At 44.1% G+C, this 22,728-nt stretch overlaps 1 protein-coding gene across 8 annotated transcripts in view, besides 1 other annotated feature; it reads left to right on the top strand.

The window, feature by feature from the left end:
* Positions 1 to 19,495, top strand: part of NR3C2 (nuclear receptor subfamily 3 group C member 2) — a 366,559-nt gene extending 347,064 nt beyond the window's left edge. For all 8 annotated transcript variants that reach the window (NR_148974.2, NM_001437655.1, NM_001437654.1 and 5 more), the window contains one exon: positions 16,760 to 19,495. Coding sequence is in view for 7 of the 8 variants with exons in the window: in NM_001437655.1 (NP_001424584.1) it covers positions 16,760 to 16,915 (156 nt within the window). In the remaining variant the exon portion in view is untranslated. The remainder of the gene's footprint in view (positions 1 to 16,759) is intronic.
* Positions 7,172 to 7,821: an enhancer, noted in NCBI's record as "H3K27ac-H3K4me1 hESC enhancer chr4:149011589-149012238 (GRCh37/hg19 assembly coordinates)". NCBI's record gives its function as "activates a minimal SCP1, AML or CMV promoter by ChIP-STARR-seq in naive H9 embryonic stem cells {active_cell/tissue: H9 hESC(naive)}" and the evidence as "EXISTENCE:reporter gene assay evidence [ECO:0000049][PMID:30033119]".

Here is a 22,728-nt window from a genome sequence, read left to right as displayed (position 1 = left end):
TAAACAGAAACATGCATAAAACAAGGTTATATATTGGTCATTTGTTGAAAAAGTTGCGACCAGCAATGTAACCGTAATAGGTTATTGCCTGATGCACACAGCAAGTCAATACACCAAGACACTGGATTGCAGCAGAGAGGTTTAATCAGAGTCACACCAAAAGAGGAGATGGGAGGAAACCTCAAATCCATCTCCCCAGGAGTTTGGGGCAGGGGTTTTTAAGGGCTTGGGAGTGGGCGGAAGTGTGGAGGTCATTGATTGGTCGAAGAGTACAGGGGGAAGTCGCTGAACAGGGAGATGAAGAAGCCATATTCTCATGCTGATCCTGTTCCTCTGTGGGAGTCTTCAAACCGGTTGCAGGAATTCAGGGTCTGAAAAACATCTTAAGCCAGGGGTGTCCAGTCTTTTGGCTTCCCTGGGCCACATTGGAAGAAGAATTGTCTTGGGCTGCACATAAAATACACTAACACTAGCGACAGCTGATGAGCTTAAAAAAAAAAAAAAAAACAAAAAAAAACGCAAAAAAGTCTCATCATGTTTTAAGAAAGTTTATGAATTTGTGTTGGGCCGCATTCAAAGCCGTCCTGGGCCACATACAGCCCGTGGGCCATGGGTTGGACAGGACAGGCTTGTCTTAAGCGATCCTTAAACAAAAGCCTTTGATTCTAGTGTCAAGAGATCCTGTCTGTATGGTCAGTATCTAATGCTATGTGACTTTTAGCAAGTAGGAAGTGGGCCAAAGTGCAGCACGATTAATACTTAATTATAACTATATTTCTTTCCAGAACCTGGCGTGCAATTCTTGTCAACCCTACAGGGGCAGCTCAGCAGCTTGTGGGAACCTAACCCTGTATTTCCCCTAGGAGCAATTGTTCAGTATTCGTTAAATCAGTGTTCAGGTGACTTTGTAAGACAGTTAGCTACCATGGATATCGAGGATCGACTGTGAATATATGTAACCCCCAGGAAATGTAGGCTTAAAGGGAAATGACTCCTGAAGGAACAGCCAAAAATGTGAGACATGTATGACAGAGGTTGTCTATTTGAATGACAAATTCTGGAACCTTTAAGTTGCATGACGTCTTCGGTTACCTAGCCTTATGCCCATAGGTGCTAGGATTCTTTCTAAGGCGTTTCCTAAAGGCTAGAAGAATCTGTATGGTAAGAGGAAAGCCAGATCTAAGTACCACCATATCACTTAATTTGGAGACCTCTTTTCCCCAACGTTTTAGTAGTTTTGAAAACTACTAAATCCTAAATAAGATGGAGACATTGTATACTTGATTTATATATTTTAACAAACAAAACCTGTTCGTTCAAAAGCTGTTATTGAATCTGTGAGATGCCTTCCAATCCATGGGTCAGCGAACTTCTGTAGTGCGCCACGTAGTAACTAGTTTAGGCTCTGTGGGCCACACAATCTTGGTTACAGCTACTCAGCTGTGCCACTGTAGCATGACAGCAGTCACAGGATATATGTGAATGAATGAATGAGTGTGGCCGCATTCTAAACAATTTCATAACATATGAACATGTCACAAAATATTATTCTTTGGATTTTTTTTCAGTCATTTAAAAGTATAAAAAACACAAACATGGAAAAAACTTAAAAGCATGAGGCCAGATTTGACCTGCAACTGTAGTTTGCCAGACCGTTTGCTTTTTGTGGCATCATAGAATCAAGAGAAGAGAACAGTCCTTATCTATTGCCTTGAGACACCTTGATCTCACCTGTTCTTACCTAAGGCTGCCTCTGGCCACTAGGGTCTGCCCCTTATTGCTTGGTGTTCCTTTTTTGGGGAGATTGAAGTAAGGATTTAACTGCCTAATCTAGATTAAACCTAATGTTAAAGTTGGTAACATATAAACACAAGTCAGCTCAGATTTTTACTTTGCTCAGCATAGTGTACATTTGCAAGAAGGATCTAGGAAATATTGAAAACAAGATTAGGAAAAGTTCATACTTCTATATACAGTAACATGCCAATGCATTTCAAACACCACCCTTTCATTACATTTCCTTTGTTCAGCAAGGTTCTAATTACCCCTTTATCTGTAAGCTCCACTTTCTTCTTTTCCATTGTGTCATTTTTCTCTGTGTTTTTCACATGTACAATAGACCTTATTCTCAAGAAGGCAGAGCTGTGGTCTAGAATGAGGCTTTTAATACAAGGAAACGTTAAGGTGGAAATTAAATAAAATTAAACAAAAAAATTAGAAGTAAATTGAGCCCATCTTGCTTAGCACAGCATCCAAAAACATGATTTAAGGATTTAATATTCACCCCTGACCAGAGATCAGTGATTGGTGTTAAATTTGTTATAAAAATGGGGATGAAGAACAAATTAAAACACAGTCTCAATAACAATCAGATGCTAATGGATGGGGGCCGGGATGAGTTTTCAGAAATGACCTTGATTTCTCATGAGACACTGTAGCACCTACTCCACCCCTCCACCCTCCCATCCCAGCCAGCCCATTCCTGGGCAGGCACTGGACAGACCCAGACTGCCTGAGCCTGCACCAGTCTAGACTCTGGAACCAGCCCTGGGAGGCTGCATGGGACAACCCTGCCTCTGTCACTCCATCAGCGTCACTAAGCTTCCCTCTAAGGTCCCCAAATGCCTCTCACGTGCCTAGCATTTAGCTGCTGCACCGAGCATGCTCACTGACAAACTTTTGGCCAAGAAGAGCCTTTTGGTCTCTCTTGGTCAGATCTAGGAGGGCTTCAGGACTCTCCAAAACTCACCCACTCAGAGAGCCTGCCAGGAACACTCAGCTGAGCGATGGCATTGTGGAGCCTGGGTTTTCAGAAGGGAGCCCATAGTGAGTGGTAGCATAACCTTGTTAAGGTTGTATTTTCCTTAGATATAGAAACAAATCAAATGCTGCTAAATTGGTAAGGGATGGAGTTTTCATATCACGTCACATTTTGCTGAGCCGTAACCAGACAGGGAAAAAGCAGAGCCACATGGCTCAGGGGCCCATCTGGGCACAAGCGGGCAGCTTCCCTTTCAGCCTGCACTGGGAGCAGGTTGGGGGTTTAGAATCTGTTTTTTCAAAATTAATATTTATTGTGGAATATACATAGCTCACAGTTTACCATTTTATCCATTTTAAGTGTACAATTCAGTGGTATTAGGTCCATTCACATAGTTGTGCAACCATCACCACCATCCATCACAGAAATTATGCCCCTTAAACACTAACTTCCTTTCCCCTACTCCTGGTAAGCACTATTCTGCTTTGTTTCTATGAATTTGGCTACTCTAGGTACCTCATGTAAGTGGAATCATATAGTATTTGTTCTTTTTTATCTGGCTCATTTCACTTAGTTAATGTTTTTGAGGTTCATGGTGCTGTAGCATGTATCAGAATTTCATTTCTTTTTGAGGCTGAATAATAGCTCTCTGTGTATGCCACATTTCGTTAATCTGTGGATGGACCTTTTGAGCTGTTTTCACCTTTCGGAATTGTGAATAATGCTGCTGTGAACATATTTTGTTTTTTTTTTGTTTTTTTGTTTTTTTTGTTTTTTTTTTTGAGATGGAGTTTTGCTCTTGTTGCCCAGGCTGGAGTGCAGTGGCGCAATCTCGGCTCACTGCAACCTCCGCCTCCCGGGTTCAAGCGATTCTCCTACCTCAGCTTCCCGAGTAACTGGGATTACAGGCATCCATCACCACACCCGGCTAATTTTTTGTATTTTTAGTAGAGACTGGGTTTCACCATGTTGGCCAGGCTGGTCTCAAATTCCTGATCTCAGGTGGTCCACCCACCTCAGCCTCCCAAAGTGCTAGGATTACAGGCGTGGGCCCCATGCCCAGCTGTGAACACTTATGTACAAATATCTATTTGAGCACTTGCTTTCAGTTCTTTTGGGTATATGCCCAGAAGTGGAATGGTGTGTCATATGGCAATTCTCTGTTTAATCTCTTTAGGAACTGTCATACTGTCCTCCAAAGCACTGCACCATTATACATTTTCACCAGTGACATGCAAATGTTCCAATTTCTCTATATCCTTGTCAACACTTGTTATTTTCCACTGTTTTTTGAATGCCTGTTATTTCCCCCTTTTTTGATAATAGCCATCCTAATGGGTGTGAAATGCTATCTCATTGCAGTTTTAGTTTTGATTTGCATTTCTCTGATGACTGGAGATGTCAAGCATCTCTTCTTGTATCTTGTAAAGATACATTTGTGTATCTTCTTTGGAGAAATGGCTTTGGCAAGTCCTTTATCAATTTTTTTATTCAGTTTGGTTTGTTGTTGAGTTGTAGTTGTTCTTTATCTATTCTGAATATTAACCTCTTTTCAGATATATGACTGAAAATATCTTCTCCCATTCTTTGGCTTGCCTTTTAACTGTCTTGATGGTGGCCTTGGATGCACAGTTTTTAATTTTGATCTACTTGTATTTATCTTTTTTCCTTTCATTGCCTATGTTTTTGGTGCCATATCCAAGAATAACACTGTTTTGTTTCAGATAAAGGCCAAACTTCTTATATAATCACTGCAGGTCATTTTCCCATATTCACAAGGCTATTTCTGGAACACCTGGACTTTATAAAGACTTGCCAGTCATTTGTGTCCAGTGAAACTACTAGCGTTGGAGTATTTATAGTTGAGTTGATGTATCTTTTGCCCTAACCCCAACATATCGCTGACTAAAATTTTGATCTTTGAAAATAAAGTTTCCAATATCCCCCGCCCCAATGCTCATTTTAGGCAAAAGCTCACTCCAATTAGGTAGACATTCTGGAGTCAACAGATAACATATAAGAAATGAGCACGCTATTGAAGTCATGTGGGACCTACTTTAGAGAGGCTGTATCATTCAGGCTTCATCACCACTTAAGTGACTGTGTAACCTCAGAACAGCAGCAGTGGCCCCAGATGTGCAGCAAGGAGGAGACTCTCCCTGCAAGGCCTTCTGAGAAGCCTTCCTTTGCGAGCAGGGAGAGCGGGGAGTGGCCGCTGGCCTGCCCCAGCAATGACTTGTGAGGGTAGTATGGAAAAGGCAGATTGAGCCCCACGGCCTCATTGTCAGAGCGAGCCAAGTGCCATCAGTTGCCCTGTGACCTTGCCAGGCTCCTCTTCCACCCTGACAGCTGTGGCCCATCAGGCTGGAAAAATCATGCTGGGCATCTGCTAAACTTCTGAGATCCCAGCAGATGAATTCTGTACAGAATGAAAAGTCAATGCATAAATCTTCCTCTGATTTCTAACAATGCGGGACTCTTATTGCTGATTGTAATTAGGGTTCTTGCCTCTCCATCTAGCCTGGGATCTACCAGGAAAGGCCAGTGGGCATCAGCATTGAGACAGCAGGCCAGGCCATCATTGCATTTGACTCATTGCAATGAAGTCACTCATGCTGACAAGTAAAGGTAGAGCTTTGGCTTCGTCGCTATGACCACCCTCCCCACTCCGACCCCAGGGTCTCTAACCACAGTGAGCAGAGAATGGGGCTCCTAGCACCCCTGGCATGGCACGCGGATGGAGTCATGTTAAAACTCAGCATAAACAGGCTGAAGGAAACCGGAGTCTAGGGAAAGATGGAAAGGAGTTAGCTTCATGTATTGAGTTTTGCAATATTGGTGCCACAAAATGAAGATGCTCATTTAGGTTGCCCAGTTTTTGTTTTGGCTCAATGAATAAAACTAGCAACATGCTACCCTAAAAAATACTGTTGAAATGAGTCATTCCCAAGCACTGGGAGCTTGGAATAAGTCAGAGAAACCCAGGAGCGAGAATCCGGGCAAGAGTAGCTTGGAATCCCTTTAGCCCTCAGCCCACACCAGGGTTGCACAGCAGAAACATGAAGGGGCCACTTCTGGGAGCCGTGGGGAATAAGACAGGTGATTCCTCCATCAAGGAGCTTGCAGGCCGCTGTTTAAGGAGCTGCACCGTAAATAGGACAGGTTAAACCCATAAAGATGTGGACAGCAGGTTAAAGAGAAAGTGGGGTCACCAGGCTCCAAGGCTAATTGTTAAGTAAATGAGAAAAACAAAAAAGTGTCATCTGCGAGGTGAGAGTCCAGAAAGAACTCCTTCAGGCTGGGCCCCAGGAAGGCCTGCGGGGAAGAGGTGACTGCAGAGAAAGAACTGGGGAAGCAGCTGCTGCCCACGAGCATGACATTTTCCAAAAATGATTCCATGCCAAGTGAGTGTCTGAGGAAATTGCTGGGGCATCCCCGGGAGAGCTGTGCCCACAGTCATTCTGAAGTAATTTGCTTTGAAAGGTGGCCTTTGGGATGGTCTGGCTTTTCCCCCCATTCCAAAACTGACACATCCTGATGAACTGAACTCTTCTTGGTGGTTTCATGCTTTGCAGTGGGAATAGTAGTTTGGGTTCCAACTAGAAACGGTGCTTATTTAGAGATGCACAGCCTGGCTCCTACCCTGCCCAGAATCCCCTTCCAGGGTGTGAGTTCAGCCTGCCCTGCCTCTATCAGCTCTGTACTGGGGACAGTGTCTGATGATGTACAAGTGCTTTGTATGCATTTGTATCCTCATTTCCTGGCTTTTTTAGGCTCAGGCAAGGGCCAAGTCTGCATATTCCTCAATGTGTACCCGTGCACTACATCAGGCTGGTACCCAGGAGGTGCCCACATGAATGTACAGGGTGACTGGTAGATGCTTTGCCGTAACACAGCGGTGTGGCACAGGAACCAGTATCTATTCTGGCTGGTCAGTATCCATGCTGACCCAGATGTTTGATATGTGAATCTCACCCAGCTCTCCTGGTCTTGTGCCCACCTCCTTGAGATCTAACCACCTGCAGCTGCTAACTTCACGCGCCTGGATTTTTCCAGTTGAGATGGGGCTCTGCACTGTGGCGCCTCCCTACCTTAAACATCTGCTAAGGGCCAGGCATCTGTGGGTTCTGCCCTGAAGGCTTCCCTGGCCCACTGGCTGTAGCAGGCCAGGGTTGGGGGAAGGCTGTGCAGGCCAGTGAGCACACGGAGCCCAGGACCTGCAGCTCAGACCAGCTTGGTCATGTTCTCCTCGCCCAGTGACTGGGGCCCCCGCTTGGATTCTCACAGATGTTCCCTGACATCAGCAACTGCAGTCATGGCTCAGGATTTAGGCCTGCAGAGGTTTTCAGCCTTGTCCCAGGGCAGGGTGCGCCAGATGGGCTTCTGTGGCCGCCAGCACTTCCGGTAGCTGCTGAGGCCTTCTGCACACCCAGCCCTGTGGGCATCCTAGCCGCCCCAACAACACAGGCTGAGCCCTTTTCTGGTAGTAGTTGGTGGTGACACCACCCCCATCCACTGGTGACATCATGCTTACAGAGTCAAATGCCCAGCCCCCGGCTGCCAGGCCAATGCCACCTGCTGGCTCTAATGCCAGGCCCAGGTTATGCACGAAGGTCCCATCCCTCTGCAGCTGACCGAGGCATAAACAGAAGCCCTCATGACTGGGGATGAGCTGCTTTCTCTGTCTGTGGAACACGGAACAGAGGTGGGTGGGAAATGCCAACCCCAGGTTAATATGCATTGTTATTGAGTAGTGTCTGGGACACCTGTCCCCAGCCAACCTGTGAGGAAAAACAGCCAAGCCCTTAACCCCAGCCCCTCTCCGTTCTGGTTATCTCAGCATCTCCTGGGTGATGCTCAATGCTGTGGACATGTTTATGTGGGTGATAGGGACAGAGGCTCCGAGAGGGCCTAGGACCTCCCCCTGTTAGCAGGTTCACAGATGTGCCTGGGCTGCATGCTGCCTCTTGTTCAAGGGTCGACTTACTTGTTCCTTTTCTTAGTACATATGTGTCAGCGTTGCTGTCACCTGTGTATCAATATGAACCCTTCCATGGCCCTGCTGTATAACTTTTTGGGGATGTCAGTCGGTAGGCTGGCAGGCCTCTCCACTCTTCAGGAACTCCCTAGGTAACCCTGCACTTGCTGGTCCCCCAATGGCCATGCGACCTTCAGGTCATGTGCCAAGCCCATCTTTCCTGAGAGCCCCTCTGAACTGCACCTCCTCCCTTCCCTCGTCACACTAGCAGCACCTGCCTTTCTGTGTGTATTTCTGCTTAGTAGAAAAGAACACAGACGCCTTGAGAGATCTGTTCACTGCAGCTTCCCCAGTGCCTGGCACAGAGCAGGTGCTCGGGGACTTAGCTGGATAGATGGTGAGGATGAGTTGTAGATAAAGGACGCTGGCCCTCCCCAAACCCTCTGTGGCCTGAGAACAGGGAACCTTTATCCCCAGAACAAGGCTTAATTCTAGAAATGTGAAAGGTGTGGCCACCAGACACTCGTCCTTGTGGTGGTTGATACTGCCTAGAAACCAAGATGTCTACCCTCGGGTTAAAACTGTAAGAAAAGGAAAAAGTCCCCCTCACAGCCCTGCAGGCACCCACATGGAGGGACTCCAGGGCATCGAGGTCCCGAGCGCTGCGGTGGGTGTGCAGGACTCTGCTAGCCTGATGGAAGCATCCCCACCCAGCAGTTGGCACTGCTGACTCATGGTGGCACATCTGGAGTGCCACACCCAGTGTAGCTGTAGCTTTGACAGCCATGGTCCTGCCACATGAGAAAAAACAAAACAGAAATGGGATGGCATGTTTCTTAAATATTCCTGAAAAGGCAAAAAAAAAGGTTCTCCCATCCCTCATTTTATAGAAGGGGGACCCAAGGACCAAGTTCCACCAGAATGGCACAGAGCAGGTTTCACAAACTGTGTTCCATAGAGGGAAATGGTGTTTTATTGTGGAAGAAGTTTGGGAAGGACAGAATCAAAGCGCTCTTGCTCCAGCAGTACTTCTCCCCATCTTTAATAACTTGCTCCATGTCGGGTGGAATTTGAAGCACTTTACCTGAGTCACTCATTCATTCCTCTGAAACAACTCTGAGGCTCAGAGACTGTTCTTATAGCCCGGATACAGATGAGGAAACTGCGGCATAGCATGTGTGTGTGAACATGGTGCTGTTTCCCAGCTTTCTGGGCCCAAACATCCTGCGGGTGCAGAGCACATTAAACCCCACAGTCCTTGGTAGCTGATTAGGAAAATACCACTCTGCAGACTGAGGGCAGTGACACAGGTACAAACAGAAGCATGACAGTTTTTTCCCTGATGAGATTTTCTTGATTCCTGGTTTGTATTGGATGCCTTTACCAAACAGTTATTTACTATCTGACTCAATTAAAGCTTGCTAATGGGGTGTTTTTTAAAATCATCAGGGTAAGTTACAGATACAAGTTCACCAGACTATTAAACTATAGAGTTATTTTGTGGCAGGTGACATTCATATTGCCAGCTGTAATACACTTGGAAATGACCAAAAATCATTTTTCCCATAATGGAATATAGAACTAACTACAGAAAAATTAGAGTGAATTTTTTTCTGATTTGGAATTGCTGTTCCTAGTAAATGGAATAGCAGTGCTCTTGCTGTGCAATGGTAGTGCTGTGCTGCATTTATAATTGTTATTAAAGTTCTGGGGTACACGTGCCATGGTGGTTTGCTGCACCCATCAACCTGTCATCTACATTAGGTATTTCTCCTAATGCCATCCCTCCCCTAGCCCCCCACCCTCCAACAGGCCCCAGTGTGTGATGTTCCCCTCCCTGTGTCCATGTGTTCTCATTGTTCAACTCCCACTTATGAGTGAGAACATGCAGTGTTTGGTTTTCTGTTCTTGTGTTAGTTTGCTGAGAATGATGGTTTCCAGCTTCATCCATGTCCCTGCAAAGGACATGAACTCATCCTTTTTATGGCTGCATAGTATTCCATGGTGTGTATGTGCCACATTTTCTTTATCCATTCTATCACTGATGGGGATTTGGGTTGGTTCCAAGTCTTTGCTATTTTGAACAGTGCCGCAATAAACATACCTCTGCATGTGTCTTTATAATAGAATGATTTATAATCCTTTGGGTATATACCCAGTAATAGGATTGCTGGGTCAAATGATATTTCTAGTTCTAGATCCTTGAGGAATCACCACACTGTCTTCCACAATGCTTGAACTAATTTGCACTCCCACAAACAGTATAAAAGTGTTCTTATTTCTCCATATCCTTTCCAGCATCTGTTGTTTCCTAACTAACTTTTTAGTGATCACCATTCTAACTGGCATGAGGTGGTATCTCATTGTGGTTTTGATTTGCATTTCTCTAATGACCAGTGATGATGAGCTTTTTTCCAAATGTTTGTTGGCTGCATAAATGTCTTCTTTTGAGAAGAGTCTCTTCATATCCTTTGCCCACTTTTTGATGGGGTTGTTTTTTTCTTGTAAATTTAAGTTCTTTGTAGATTCTGGATATTAGCCCTGTGTCAGATGGATAGATTGCAAAAATTTTCTCCCATTCTGTAGGTTGCCTGTTCACTCTGATGATAGTTTCTTTTGCTGTGCAGAAGCTCTTTAGTTTATTAGATGCCATTTGTCCATTTTGGCTGTTGTTGCCATTGCTTTTGGTGTTTTAGTCATGAAGTCTTTGCCCATGCCTACGTCCTGAATGGTATTGGCTGGCTAGGTTTTCTTCTAGGGGTTGTTATGGTTTTAGGTCTTATGTTTAAGTCTTTAATCCATCTTGAGTTGATTTTTGTATAAGGTATAAGGAAGGGGTCCAGTTTCAGTTTTCTGCATATGGCTAGCCAGTTTTCGCCGTACCGTTTATTAAATAGAGGATCCTTTCCCCATTGTTTTTTCAGGTTTGTCAAAGATCAGATGGTTGTAGATGTGTGGCATTATTTCTGAGGCCTCTGTTCTGTTCTGTTCCATTGGTCTATATATCTGTTTTACTTTATCCTTGTAGTATAAAGTCAGGTAGCATGATGCCTCCAGCTTTGTTTTTTGCTTAGGATTATCTTGGCTATGCGGGCTCTTTTTTGGTTCCATATGAAATTTGAAGTAGTTTTTTTCTAATTCTGTGAAGAAAGTCAATGATAGCTGGTGGGGATAGCATTGAATCTATAAATTACTTTGGGCAGTACGGCCATTTTCATGATATTTGTTCTTCCTATTCATGAGCATGGAATGCTTTTCCACTTGTGTCATCTCTTATTTCCTTGAGACTTGAAGATGTCCTTCACATCCCTTGTATGTTGTATTCCTAGTTATTTTATTCTGTTTGTAGCAATTGTGAATGGGAGTTCACTAATGATTTGGCTGTTTGTCTATTATTGGTGTATAGGAATGCTTGTAACTTTTGCACACTGATTTTGTATCCTGAGACTTTGCTGAAGTTGCTTATCGGCTTAAGATTTTGGGCTGAGATGATGGGGTTTTCTAAATATAATCATGTCATCTGCAAACAGAGACAATTTGACTTCCTGTCTTCCTATTTGAATACCCTTTCTTTCTTTCTCTTGCCTGATTGCCCTGGCCAGAAGTTCTAATACTATGTTGAATAGAAGTGAGAGAGGGCATCCTTGTATTGTGCCGGTTTTCGAAGGGAATGCTTCCAGTTGTTGTCCATTCAGTATGATATTGGCTGTGGGTTTGGCAGAAATAGCTATTTTGAGATATGTTCCATCAATACCTAGTTTATTTTTTTGTCTGTTTTTTGAGACAGTCTCGCTCTGTCACTCAGGCTGGATTGCAGTGGTGCAATCTTGGCTCACTGCAACCTCCACTTCTCAGGTTCTATCAATTCTCCTGCCTCTGCCTCCTGAGTAGCTGGGATTGCAGGTGTATGCCACCATGCCTGGCTAATTTATTTATTTATTTTTTTAAGTGGAGACAGGGTTTCACCATTTTAGCCAGGCTGATCTCAAACTCCTGACCTCAAGTGATCCGCCCACCTCAGCCTCTCAAAGTGCTGGGATAACAGGCGTGAGCCACCGCGCCCAGCTATTGGGAGTTTTTAGCATGAAGCCATGTTAAATTTTATCAAAGGCCTTTTCTGCATCTATTGAGATAACCATGTGGTTTTTGTCATTGGTTCTGTTTATGTAATGGATTACATTTATTGATTTGTGTATGTTGAGCCAGCTTTGCATCCCAGGGATGAAGCCGACTTGATCGTGGTAGATAAGCTTTTTAATGTGCTGCTGGATTCAGTTTGCCCGTATTTTATTGAGGATTTTTGCATCAATGGTCATCAGGGAAATTGGCCTGAAATTTTCATTTTTTGTTGTGTCTCTGCAAGGTTTGGGTATCAGGACGATGCTGGCCTCATAAAATGAGTTAGGGAGGAGTCTCTCTTTTTCTATTGTTTGGAATAGTTTCAGAAGGAATGGTACCAGCTCCTCTTTGTACCTCTGGTAAAATCTGGCTGTGAATCCGTCCAGTCCTGGACTTTTTTTGGTTGGTAGGCTATTAATTACTGCCCAATTTCAGAACTTGTTATTGGTCTGTTCAGGCATTCGACTTCTTCCTGGTTTAGACTTGAGAGGGTGTGTGTCCAGAAATTTATCCATTTCTTCTAGATTTTCTAGTTTATTTGCATAGAGGTGCTTATAGTATTCTCTGATGGTAATTTGTATTTCTGTGGGATCAGTGGTGACATCTACTTTATCATTTTTTATTGTGTTTGATTCTTCTCTCTTTTCTTCATTAGTCTGGCAGTCTATCTATTTTGTTGATCTTTTCAAAAAAAACCAGCCCCTGGATTCATTGATTTTTTTGAAGGATTTTTCATGTCCCTATCTCCTTCAGTTCTGCTCTGATCTTATTTCTTGCCTTCTGCTAGCTTTTGAATTTGTTTGCTCTTGCTTCTCTAGTTCTTTTAATTGTGATGTTAGGGTATCAACTTTAGATCCTTCCTGCTGTCTCCTGTGGGCATTTAGTGCTATAAATTTCCGTCTGAACACTGCTTTAGCTGTGTCCCACAGATTCTGGTACATTGTGTCTTTGCTCTCATTGGTTTCAAAGAACTTATTTATTTCTACCTTAATTTCATTATTTACCCAAGAATCATTCAGGAGCAGGTTTTTCGGTTTCCATGTGGTTGTGTGTTTTGAGTGAGTTTCTTAATCCTGAGTTCTAATTCGATGGCACTGTGGTCTGACAGACTGTTGTTTCCTTTCTTTTGCATTTGCTAAGGAGTGTTTTACTTCCAATTACGTGGTCAATTTTAGAAAAAGTGCGATGAGGTGCTGAGAAGAATGTATGTTCTGTTGATTTGGGGTGGAGAGTTCTGTAGATGTCTATTAGGTCTGCTTGGTCCAGAGCTGAGTTCAAGTCCTGAATATCTTTGTTAATTTTCTGTCTCATTGATCTAATATTGACAGTGGGGTGTTAAAGTCTCCCAATATTATTGTGTGGGAGTCTAAGTCTCTGTGTATGTCTCTAAGTACTTGCTTTATGAATCTGGGTGGTCCTGTATTGGGTGCATATATATTTAGGATAGTTAGCACTTCTTTTTGCATTGATCCCTTTACCATTATGTAATGCCCTCCTTTGATCTTTGTTGGTTTAAAGTCTGTTTTATCAGACACTAGGATTGGAACCCCTGCTATTTTTGCTTTCCATTTGCTTGGTAAATCTTCCTCCATCCCTTTATTTTGAGACTATATGTGTCTTTGCACGTGAAATGGGTCTTCTGAATACAGCACACCGATGGATTTTGACTCTTGATTGAATTTGCCAGACTGTGTCTTTTAACTGGGGGATTTAGCCTGTTTACATTTAAGGCCACTGTTATGTGTGAATTTAATCCTGTCATTATGATGCTAGCTGGTTGTTTTGCCCATTAGTTGATGCAGTTTCTTCATAGCATCGATGGTCTTTACAATTTGGTATGTTTTTGCAGTGGCTGGTACTAGTTGTTCCTTTCCATGTCTAGCGCTTCCTTCAGGAGCTCTTGTAACGCAGGCCTGGTGGTGATAGAATCTCTCAGCATTTGCTTGTCTGTAAAGAATTTTATTTCTCCTTCACTTATGAAGCTTAGTTTAGCTAGATATGAAATTCTGGGTTGAAAATTCTTTTAAGAATGTTGAATATTGGCCCCCACTCTCTTCTGGCTTGTAGGGTTTCTGCAGAGAGATCTGCTGTTATTCTGATGGGCTTCCCACTTTGTGGGTAACCCGACCTTTCTCTCTGGCTTCCCCTTAACATTTTTCCTTCATTTCAACCTTGGCGAATCTGACTATTCTGTGTCTTGGAGTTGCTCTTCTTGTGGAGTATCTTTGTGGTGTTCTCTGTATTTCCTGAATTTGTTGGCCTGTCTTGCTAGGTTGGGGAAGTTCTCCTGGATAATATCCTGAAGAGTGTTTTCCAACTTGGTTCTATTCTCCCCTTCACTTTCAGTTACACCAATTAAACGTAGATTTGGTCTTTTCATAGTCCTGTATTTCTTGGAGGCTTTGTTCGTTTCTTTTTCACTCTTTTTTCTCTCATCTTCTTTTCTTGCTTTATTCCTTTGAGTTGATCTTAAATCTCTGATATTCTTTCTTCCGCTTGATCAGTTCAGCTATTGATAATTGTGTATGCTTCACGAAGTTCTTGTGCTGTGTTTTTCAGCTCCATCAGGTCATTTATATTCTTCTCTAAACTGGTTATTCTAGTTAACAATTCGTCTTTTTTCAAGGTTCTTAGCTTCCTTGCATTGCTCCTTTAGCTCAGAGGAGTTTGTTATTATCCACCTTCTGAAGCCTACTTCTGTCAATTCGTGAAACTCATTCTCCATCCTGTTTTGTTCCCTTGCTGACGAGGAGTTGTGATCCTTTGTAGGAGAAGAGGCGTTCTGGTTTTTCGAATTTTCAGGCTTTTTTGCACTGGTTTCTCCCCATCTTCATGGATTTATCTACCTTTGGTCTTTGATGTTGGTGGCCTTCAGATGAGGTTTCTTTGTGGACATCCTTTTTGTTGATGTTGATGCCCTTCCTTTGTTAGTTTTCCTTCTACCAGTCAGGCCCCTCTGCTGCAGGTCTGCTGGAGTTTGCTGGAGGTCCACTCCAGACCCTGTTTGCTTGGGTATCACCAGTGGAGGCTGCAGAACAGCAAAGATCGCTGCCTGGAGGCTTTGTCCCAATGGGGCACCCGCCAGATGCCAGGTGAAGCTCTCCTGTATGAGGTGTCTCTTTGTCAGGAGGCACAGGGATCAGGGACCCACTTCAGGAGGCAGTCCGTCCCTTAGCAGAACTCTAGTGCTGTGTTGGGAGAACCACTGCTCTCTTCAGAGCCGGCAGGCAGGAACATTTAAGTCTGCTGAAGCTGTGCCCACAGCCACCCCTTCCCCCAGTTGCTCTGTCCCAGGGAGATGGGGTTTTATCTATAAGCCCCTGACTGGGGCTGCTGCCTTTCTTTCAGAGATGCTTTGCCCAGAGAGGAGGAATCTAGTGAGGCAGTCTGGCTACAGTGGTTTTGGGGAGCTGCAGTGTGCTCTACCCACTTGGAACTTCCCGGTGGCTCTGTTTACACTGGGAGGGCAAAACCGCCTACTCAAGCCTCAGTAATGGCGGATGCTCCTCCCCCCTTCCCCCACCAAGCTCGAGCATCCCGGGTCGACTTCAGACTGCTGTGCTGGCAGCAAGAATTTCAAGCCAGTGGATCTTAGCTTGCTAGGCTCCGTGGTGGTGGGATCCGCTGAGCTAAACAGCTTGGCTCCTTGGCTTCGGCCCCCTTTCTAGGGAAGTGAACGGTTCTGTCTCGCTGGTGTTCCAGATGCCACTGGGGTATGAAAAAAAAAAAAAAAAACTGCAGCTAGCTCAGTGTCTGCCCTAACCAGTGCCCAGTTTTGTGCTTGAAACCCAGGGCCCTGGTGGCATAGGCACCCAAGGGAATCTCCTGGTCTATGGGTTGTGAAGACCCTGGGAAAAGTGTAGTATCTGGGCCAGAATGCACTGTTACAGCACAGTCCCCCTCATGGCTTCCCTTGGCTAGGGGAGGGAGTTCCCCAACCCCTTGCACTTCCCGGGTGAGGCGACGCCCCACCCTGCTTCAGCTCACCCTCTGTGGGCTACACCCACCGTCTAACCAGTCCAAATGAGATAAGCCGGGTACCTCAGTTGGAAATGCAGCAATCACCCACCTTGTGCATTGATCTCACTGGGAACTGCAGACCAGAGCTGTTCCTATTTGGCCGTATTGCCAGCCTCCAATTTTTTTTTAATAAAGTAGGAGTAGGTCAGGTCTGGAGGGGCTGAGAAAAGTTCTTGGTTCACAGAGTAGGGAAAATGAGCTAGGGGGACACCCCAGAACTTGTCCTTGATGTATTTCACTGTCTCAAAATCAGCCTGAAATAGGAAGTAGCTGAAGAGTCTCAGGTCTGCCCCTACAGGGCAGGCACCCACAAAGAAGGAAAGAGGGCCTGGGGCTGCAGGTGGAAGTGCCAGCTGGCCCCTTGGCGGCAGCTCCATTGGCGGGCCCAGTTAGGGGAACACCACAGCTGCCTGTGCAGTGCTCTGTCCTGCTCCTCACCCTCCTGGGCATCTGTGGTGCTTAGACCCTGGGCCAGCACTTGCCCCTTCCCACCAGCCCACCTTACACCCTGGGAAGGCCCCTCACCAATACAAAGATACACGTGTAGGCACACATTTAGAAATTAGAATTTGATGAGTGCAGTTCAGTGACCCAGTCACTGTTAACTCTGTCACTGTCCCTGTTTCAGCTCATACATTCAGTGCTCAAAATTCAGCTCTCAGCTGAATTTGTTTGTTTTCCATGAAAGGCAGATGACATGGGTGATGTGAGCACCCTTCTTCCTCTCCCAGGACAGATGACTCTGCTCAATTAATGAAGACATGGTCTCCTGGGAGGCTTTCTAAATGTTGTCATTTGAGTTCCCACCAAAGTCAGAAGGCAGAGGGATCCAGGGTCGGAAAGGAGGCCCCCGTGTCATGCCCCCTGTGTCTGTGTTACAGCTGGTGAGCGACCTGCTGGAATTCTGCTTCTACACCTTCCGAGAGTCCCATGCGCTGAAGGTAGAGTTCCCCGCAATGCTGGTGGAGATCATCAGCGACCAGCTGCCCAAGGTGGAGTCGGGGAACGCCAAGCCGCTCTACTTCCACCGGAAGTGACTGCCCGCTGCCCAGAAGAACTTTGCCTTAAGTTTCCCTGTGTTGTTCCACACCCAGAAGGACCCAAGAAAACCTGTTTTTAACATGTGATGGTTGATTCACACTTGTTCAACAGTTTCTCAAGTTTAAAGTCATGTCAGAGGTTTGGAGCCGGGAAAGCTGTTTTTCCGTGGATTTGGCGAGACCAGAGCAGTCTGAAGGATTCCCCACCTCCAATCCCCCAGCGCTTAGAAACATGTTCCTGTTCCTCGGGATGAAAAGCCATATCTAGTCAATAACTCTGATTTTGATATTTTCACAGATGGAAGAAGTTTTAACTATGCCGTGTAGTTTCTGGTATCGTTCGCTTGTTTTAAAAGGGTTCAAGGACTAACGAACGTTTTAAAGCTTACCCTTGGTTTGCACATAAAACGTATAGTCAATATGGGGCATTAATATTCTTTTGTTATTAAAAAAACACAAAAAAATAATAAAAAAATATATACAGATTCCTGTTGTGTAATAACAGAACTCGTGGCGTGGGGCAGCAGCTGCCTCTGAGCCCTCGCTCGTCCACGGTCTTCTGCATCACTGGTATACACACTCGTTAGCGTCCATTTCTTATTTAATTAGAATGGATAAGATGATGTTAAATGCCTTGGTTTGATTTCTAGTATCTATTGTGTTGGCTTTACAAATAATTTTTTGCAGTCTTTTGCTGTGCTGTACATTACTGTATGTATAAATTATGAAGGACCTGAAATAAGGTATAAGGATCTTTTGTAAATGAGACACATACAAAAAAAATCTTTAATGGTTAATAGGATGAATGGGAAAGTATTTTTGAAAGAATTCTATTTTGCTGGAGACTATTTAAGTACTATCTTTGTCTAAACAAGGTAATTTTTTTTTGTAAAGTGCAATGTCCTGCATGCATAATGAACCGTTTACAGTGTATTTAAGAAAGGGAAAGCTGTGCCTTTTTTAGCTTCATATCTAATTTACCATTATTTTACAGTCTCTGTTGTAAATAACCACACTGAAACCTCTTCGGTTGTCTTGAAACCTTTCTACTTTTTCTGTACTTTTTGTTTTGTTCTTGGTCTCCCGCTTGGGGCATTTGTGGGACTCCAGCACGTTTTCTGGCTTCTGCTTCATCCTGCTCCATCGGGGAATGACACACTGCGGTGTCTGCAGCTCCTGGAAGGTGTCATTTGACAACACATGTGGGAGAGGAGGTCCTTGGAGTGCTGCAGCTTTGGGAAAGCTGCCTCGTTTCCCTTTTCCTCTAGAAGCAGAACCAGCTCTACGAGAGTGAGACTGGGAACTTGATGGCTCAGAGAGCATCTTTTCCTCCCATTTTAGAAAATCAGATTTTCTCCTGTGGGAAAAAAAAATTCCATGCACTCTCTCTCTGTTAAAGATCAGCTATTCCCTTCTGATCTTGGAAAGAGGTTCTGCACTCCTGGAACCGGTCACAGGAACGCACAGATCATGGCAGGATGCGCTGGGACGGCCCATCTTGGCAAGGTTCAGTCTGAATGGCATGGAGACCGGGAGATAGAGGGGTTTTAGATTTTTAAAAGGTAGGTTTTAAAAATAAGTTTTATACATAAACAGTTTTGGAGAAAAATTACAGATCATATAAGCAAGACAGTGGCACTAAAATGTTTAATTCATTAATCTGTTTGTTTGGCACTGATGCAATGTATGGCTTTTCTCTTGCCCCAAATCACAAACATATGTATCTTTGGGGAAACTAACAATATGATTGCACTAAATAAACTACTTTGAATAGAGGCCAAATTAATCTTTTAAAAATGATGATAATCATCAGGTTTACTCAGTGAAATCATATTAATTATTTTCCAAAATCTAAAAGCTGTAGCTGGAGAAGCCCATGGCCACGAGGAAGCAGCAATTAATTAGATCAACACTTTTCTCCAGGGTTCACCATGCAGGCAACATTACCTTGTCTTTCAAAAGACACCTGCCTTATGCAAGGGGAAACCTGTGAAAGCTGCACTCAGAGGGAGGAGTTTTTCTTACATAATTTGCAATTTCAGGAATTTAATTTATAGGCAGATCTTTAAATACAGTCAACTTACGGTGCACAGTAATATGAAAGCCACACTTTGAAGGTAATAAATACACAGCATGCAGACTGGGAGTTGCTAGCAAACAAATGGCTTACTTACAAAAGCAGCTTTTAGTTCAGACTTAGTTTTTATAAAATGGGAATTCTGACTTACTTAACCAGGTTTGGGATGGAGATGGTCTGCATCAGCTTTTTGTATTAACAAAGTTACTGGCTCTTTGTGTGTCTCCAGGTAACTTTGCTTGATTAAACAGCAAAGCCATATTCTAAATTCACTGTTGAATGCCTGTCCCAGTCCAAATTGTCTGTCTGCTCTTATTTTTGTACCATATTGCTCTTAAAAATCTTGGTTTGGTACAGTTCATAATTCACCAAAAGTTCATATAATTTAAAGAAACACTAAATTAGTTTAAAATGAAGCAATTTATATCTTTATGCAAAAACATATGTCTGTCTTTGCAAAGGACTGTAAGCAGATTACAATAAATCCTTTACTTTAATCACCTGTTGTTTTGGAGCAAATTCATTTGAATGTCTGTAGGTACACCTGGATTTTGTGCCCTCCCAAATCTTGATTGTATGCACTCTGCCTACATCCAAGATGGAGAACGTGGTTTTCCATGTTAGAAAGAGTCCTATGTTAGCCACATGTTAATTCTACTCTTTGGGGGACTGATCAGAGACCTTGTTTTTAATACTTTTGATTGATATTTAGTTCATTAAAATACTCTGTAACCATTGGATAACTATTGCCATGTAGTTGCTAAACCCTATATATACATTGCCTCATTTATCTTCACAACCACTTGAAAACTTATTCTGCAGAATTTGAGACTAATGTGAGTGGAGCCCCCGTCTGACTCCAAAGTTGTTCTTCTACATGGTCTCACCCTATCATCCCCCAGCACCCTTGCGCCATCAAGAAGCTCAGCTCCCCATTGGCCATGATGCTTCTGACATTTCTGCAGGCTTGTCCCCTGGATTCCACTCATTAATATGGGCCACAAAGGAGCAGTAAGCAATCACCAGCTGGTTTTTAAATAGAAAACATTTCCCACAAGATAAAGTACAGTACATTTTTAGTGTGTTGCTCAACTGGTGATTGTTCAAATTATTTGCTTTCAGCAAGAGAAGACTATTTGATTGATAGTAAAATTCAGCTTTGTGAAACACAACAGATCCATTTCTGGAACACAGCATACCCACTGAACACAGCACAGGAAGAAAATTGGGAGCACAAACTTTTGGTGTGTGAAATACTGTAAGTGCAATTTTAGATTTAAAAATTTCAGAAATTTGACCTATTAGGGAACAGGGCTTTTCACAGAGAGCCCCTACCTTGAAACAAAAGCCATCTTGGGCTGGGAACCCACCCAAAGCTGGCAGGAGGCCCCTACAATGTGCACCCTTGGCTAAAGGGGGTGCCCTTTTTGAATTGAACAGACTCATTCTTGGGTCAAGTGTGACTATTTCTCACAATCTCTAGAAGTGCTCTCAGGCCCAAAGAATTCAGCCCACAGTTAGGAATCATTAGCTAAGAACTGTGTCTCTGCCACTGAGACAGCCAGCCACTATATGCCAGAGCAGTTAAAAAAAGAAAAAATTGTGCCCGGTGATGCCTATGTATTTAGAGGCTTGTTTGCTTCTGTATGCTGAATTCCCTCCAAGCAAATAGAAAACATTGTCCCTTTATGTACAAATCAGCTCTAACATTTTTTATAAACTCTGCAAATGTACACAGATTAAAATGACTTGATTACAAGTATCTCTGGCACTTTAATTTCAAGTCAGCCAGTTGCTACTGTAGCAATTTTCTTGGAAATGAAACAGTAGCTTCCAAAACAACACTGGAATTGGGTAAGGCACAATCTCAACATTGATCATCGACCAAGACTGTCCAAAGCAAAGTGAACGATGGGGCAAAGTGGCAGGCAGTTAGCTGCTGCTGTATAACAAAACATCCCAAAACTTAGCGGTTTACATCAATCACCATTTAGTATTTCTCATGTTTCTATGAGTCGGCTAAGGGAAGCAGGCTAGGGTGTGCTGACCTGAGCCAGGCTCGGCTGAGCTGGGATTGTTTGTATATCCGTGGTTAGCCTGCAGCTGTCTGGTCTGCAGTGGCACTGCTCCATGTGGCCTCTCATCCTCCAGCAAGCTAGTCTGGGTTTATTTTCATGGCAAAGCCAGGGCTTTAAAAAAGAGCCTGGAAAGGCATATAACACTTTCCATGCCTCTGACTGAATCAAGTTTGCTCCAAGCCCATTGGCCAAAGCAAGTTGTGAGGTCAAGCCCTGAGTCAGCCTGAAAGGACTCCACAAAAGGGCATGGGTTTGGGGAGGGGTGAAAGATCAGGATCTTTAAATGTCTACCACACTAGTAGTTACTGAGATATTTTGCTGCAGCATGTATGTTGCCAAGACAGTGGTTTCCAAGTTTTCCCTAGTCTGAAAAAACCCCTTTATATGGATCTCCATGCCCTGAGCCAGCCTGACTGAGGGTGGATGGCAGCACCTGTGAAAACTGGCCTGGCTAGGTCTGATCCTGCTGCTCCTGGCATGGGAGCTGCTCCACCTTGCAGTGTTTCCTTAGTTGCTAAACTCCACAAGGAAGAAGGAATCCAGACACCAAGGCATGGCCCTGAGCTGCCATGCATTCACTGCCCAAATTTAAAGTGCAGGTCTCTTGGGCCAAAAATAGGAGTTCTTCCAATCAAGTTGATCTTCAGATAGAAAGTGTTTTCCAAGGTATTCTTCTAACCGATAGATTGAGATACTTTTAGCTAGACATTTAAGTGTCAGAATGAGCTGGGCTGCCCAAATGAGGTAGCAATAAATTACTGCTCAGGCCAGTCAAGGAGGAAGAGTGCTGACAAGCAACTGAGAAGACATTTGCAGAACTAGGAGTGGGAGAGCTGTTTGAGGACACACTCCTGGAACAGCATCCTCAGAGTGGACAGAGGAAAGCTACGTGGCTCAAGAAGATTCAAGAAGTCATGGAAAACATCTGGCCAGCGAAGGAGTAACCAGAACTGGCTTTGAGAGACTGGAAGGGAGAACTCCTAAGAAGCTGAGAAGATGCCCAGTCTGGAGGTGAATGGGAACAAAGGCAAGTCCAAGAGAGCAGGAGCCTGGAGTGGCGTTGGGAAGGAGGGGAGAGGCTGAGCAATGTCAGCAAAGGACAAGAGCATGGAATGGCTTTTGGAGAAGAGATGCTGGCAGGAAGCAGGCAGTGATTTACAGATGAGAAGGGGGACAGAAACCGACCCCCAACCACCACAGTGTCCTGCTGCCTTGCCTTCTCCAGTCCTCTCCATTTACTAAACCCCACTTCCTACCATGTGCCCATCCAGCACAGGACATTCACTCTCATTTAACTGTCACATCCCACAGGTTGCTTCTCCTCTTTCCATTTCACTGGCACAAACAGAACCATAAAAAGGTCAAGTAACTTACCAGAGATCACCAAGATATAAAATAGCAAAAATAGGATTTCAAAACAGCTTGTTTGTAATGCAACACGCACTTTTCACCACTGTATTACGTTCATAGAGCTACTGTAACAAAGGACCACAAATTGGGCACCTTAAACAGAAATGCATTTTCTCCCAGTTCTGGAGGCTGGAAGTCCAAGATGGAGGTGTCAGCAGGGTTGGTTCCTTCAGTGAGGGCTGAGAGAGAAGGGTCTATTCCAGGCCTCTCCCCTTGGCTTGTAGATGGCTGTCTTCTCCCTGTTT

The sequence above is a fragment of the Homo sapiens genome, chromosome 4 (genome assembly GCF_000001405.40).
Source record: "Homo sapiens chromosome 4, GRCh38.p14 Primary Assembly".
Taxonomy (NCBI): domain Eukaryota; kingdom Metazoa; phylum Chordata; class Mammalia; order Primates; family Hominidae; genus Homo; species Homo sapiens.
Note: the sequence above shows the minus strand (reverse complement) of the source record. Positions and strands in the feature narration are given on the sequence as shown.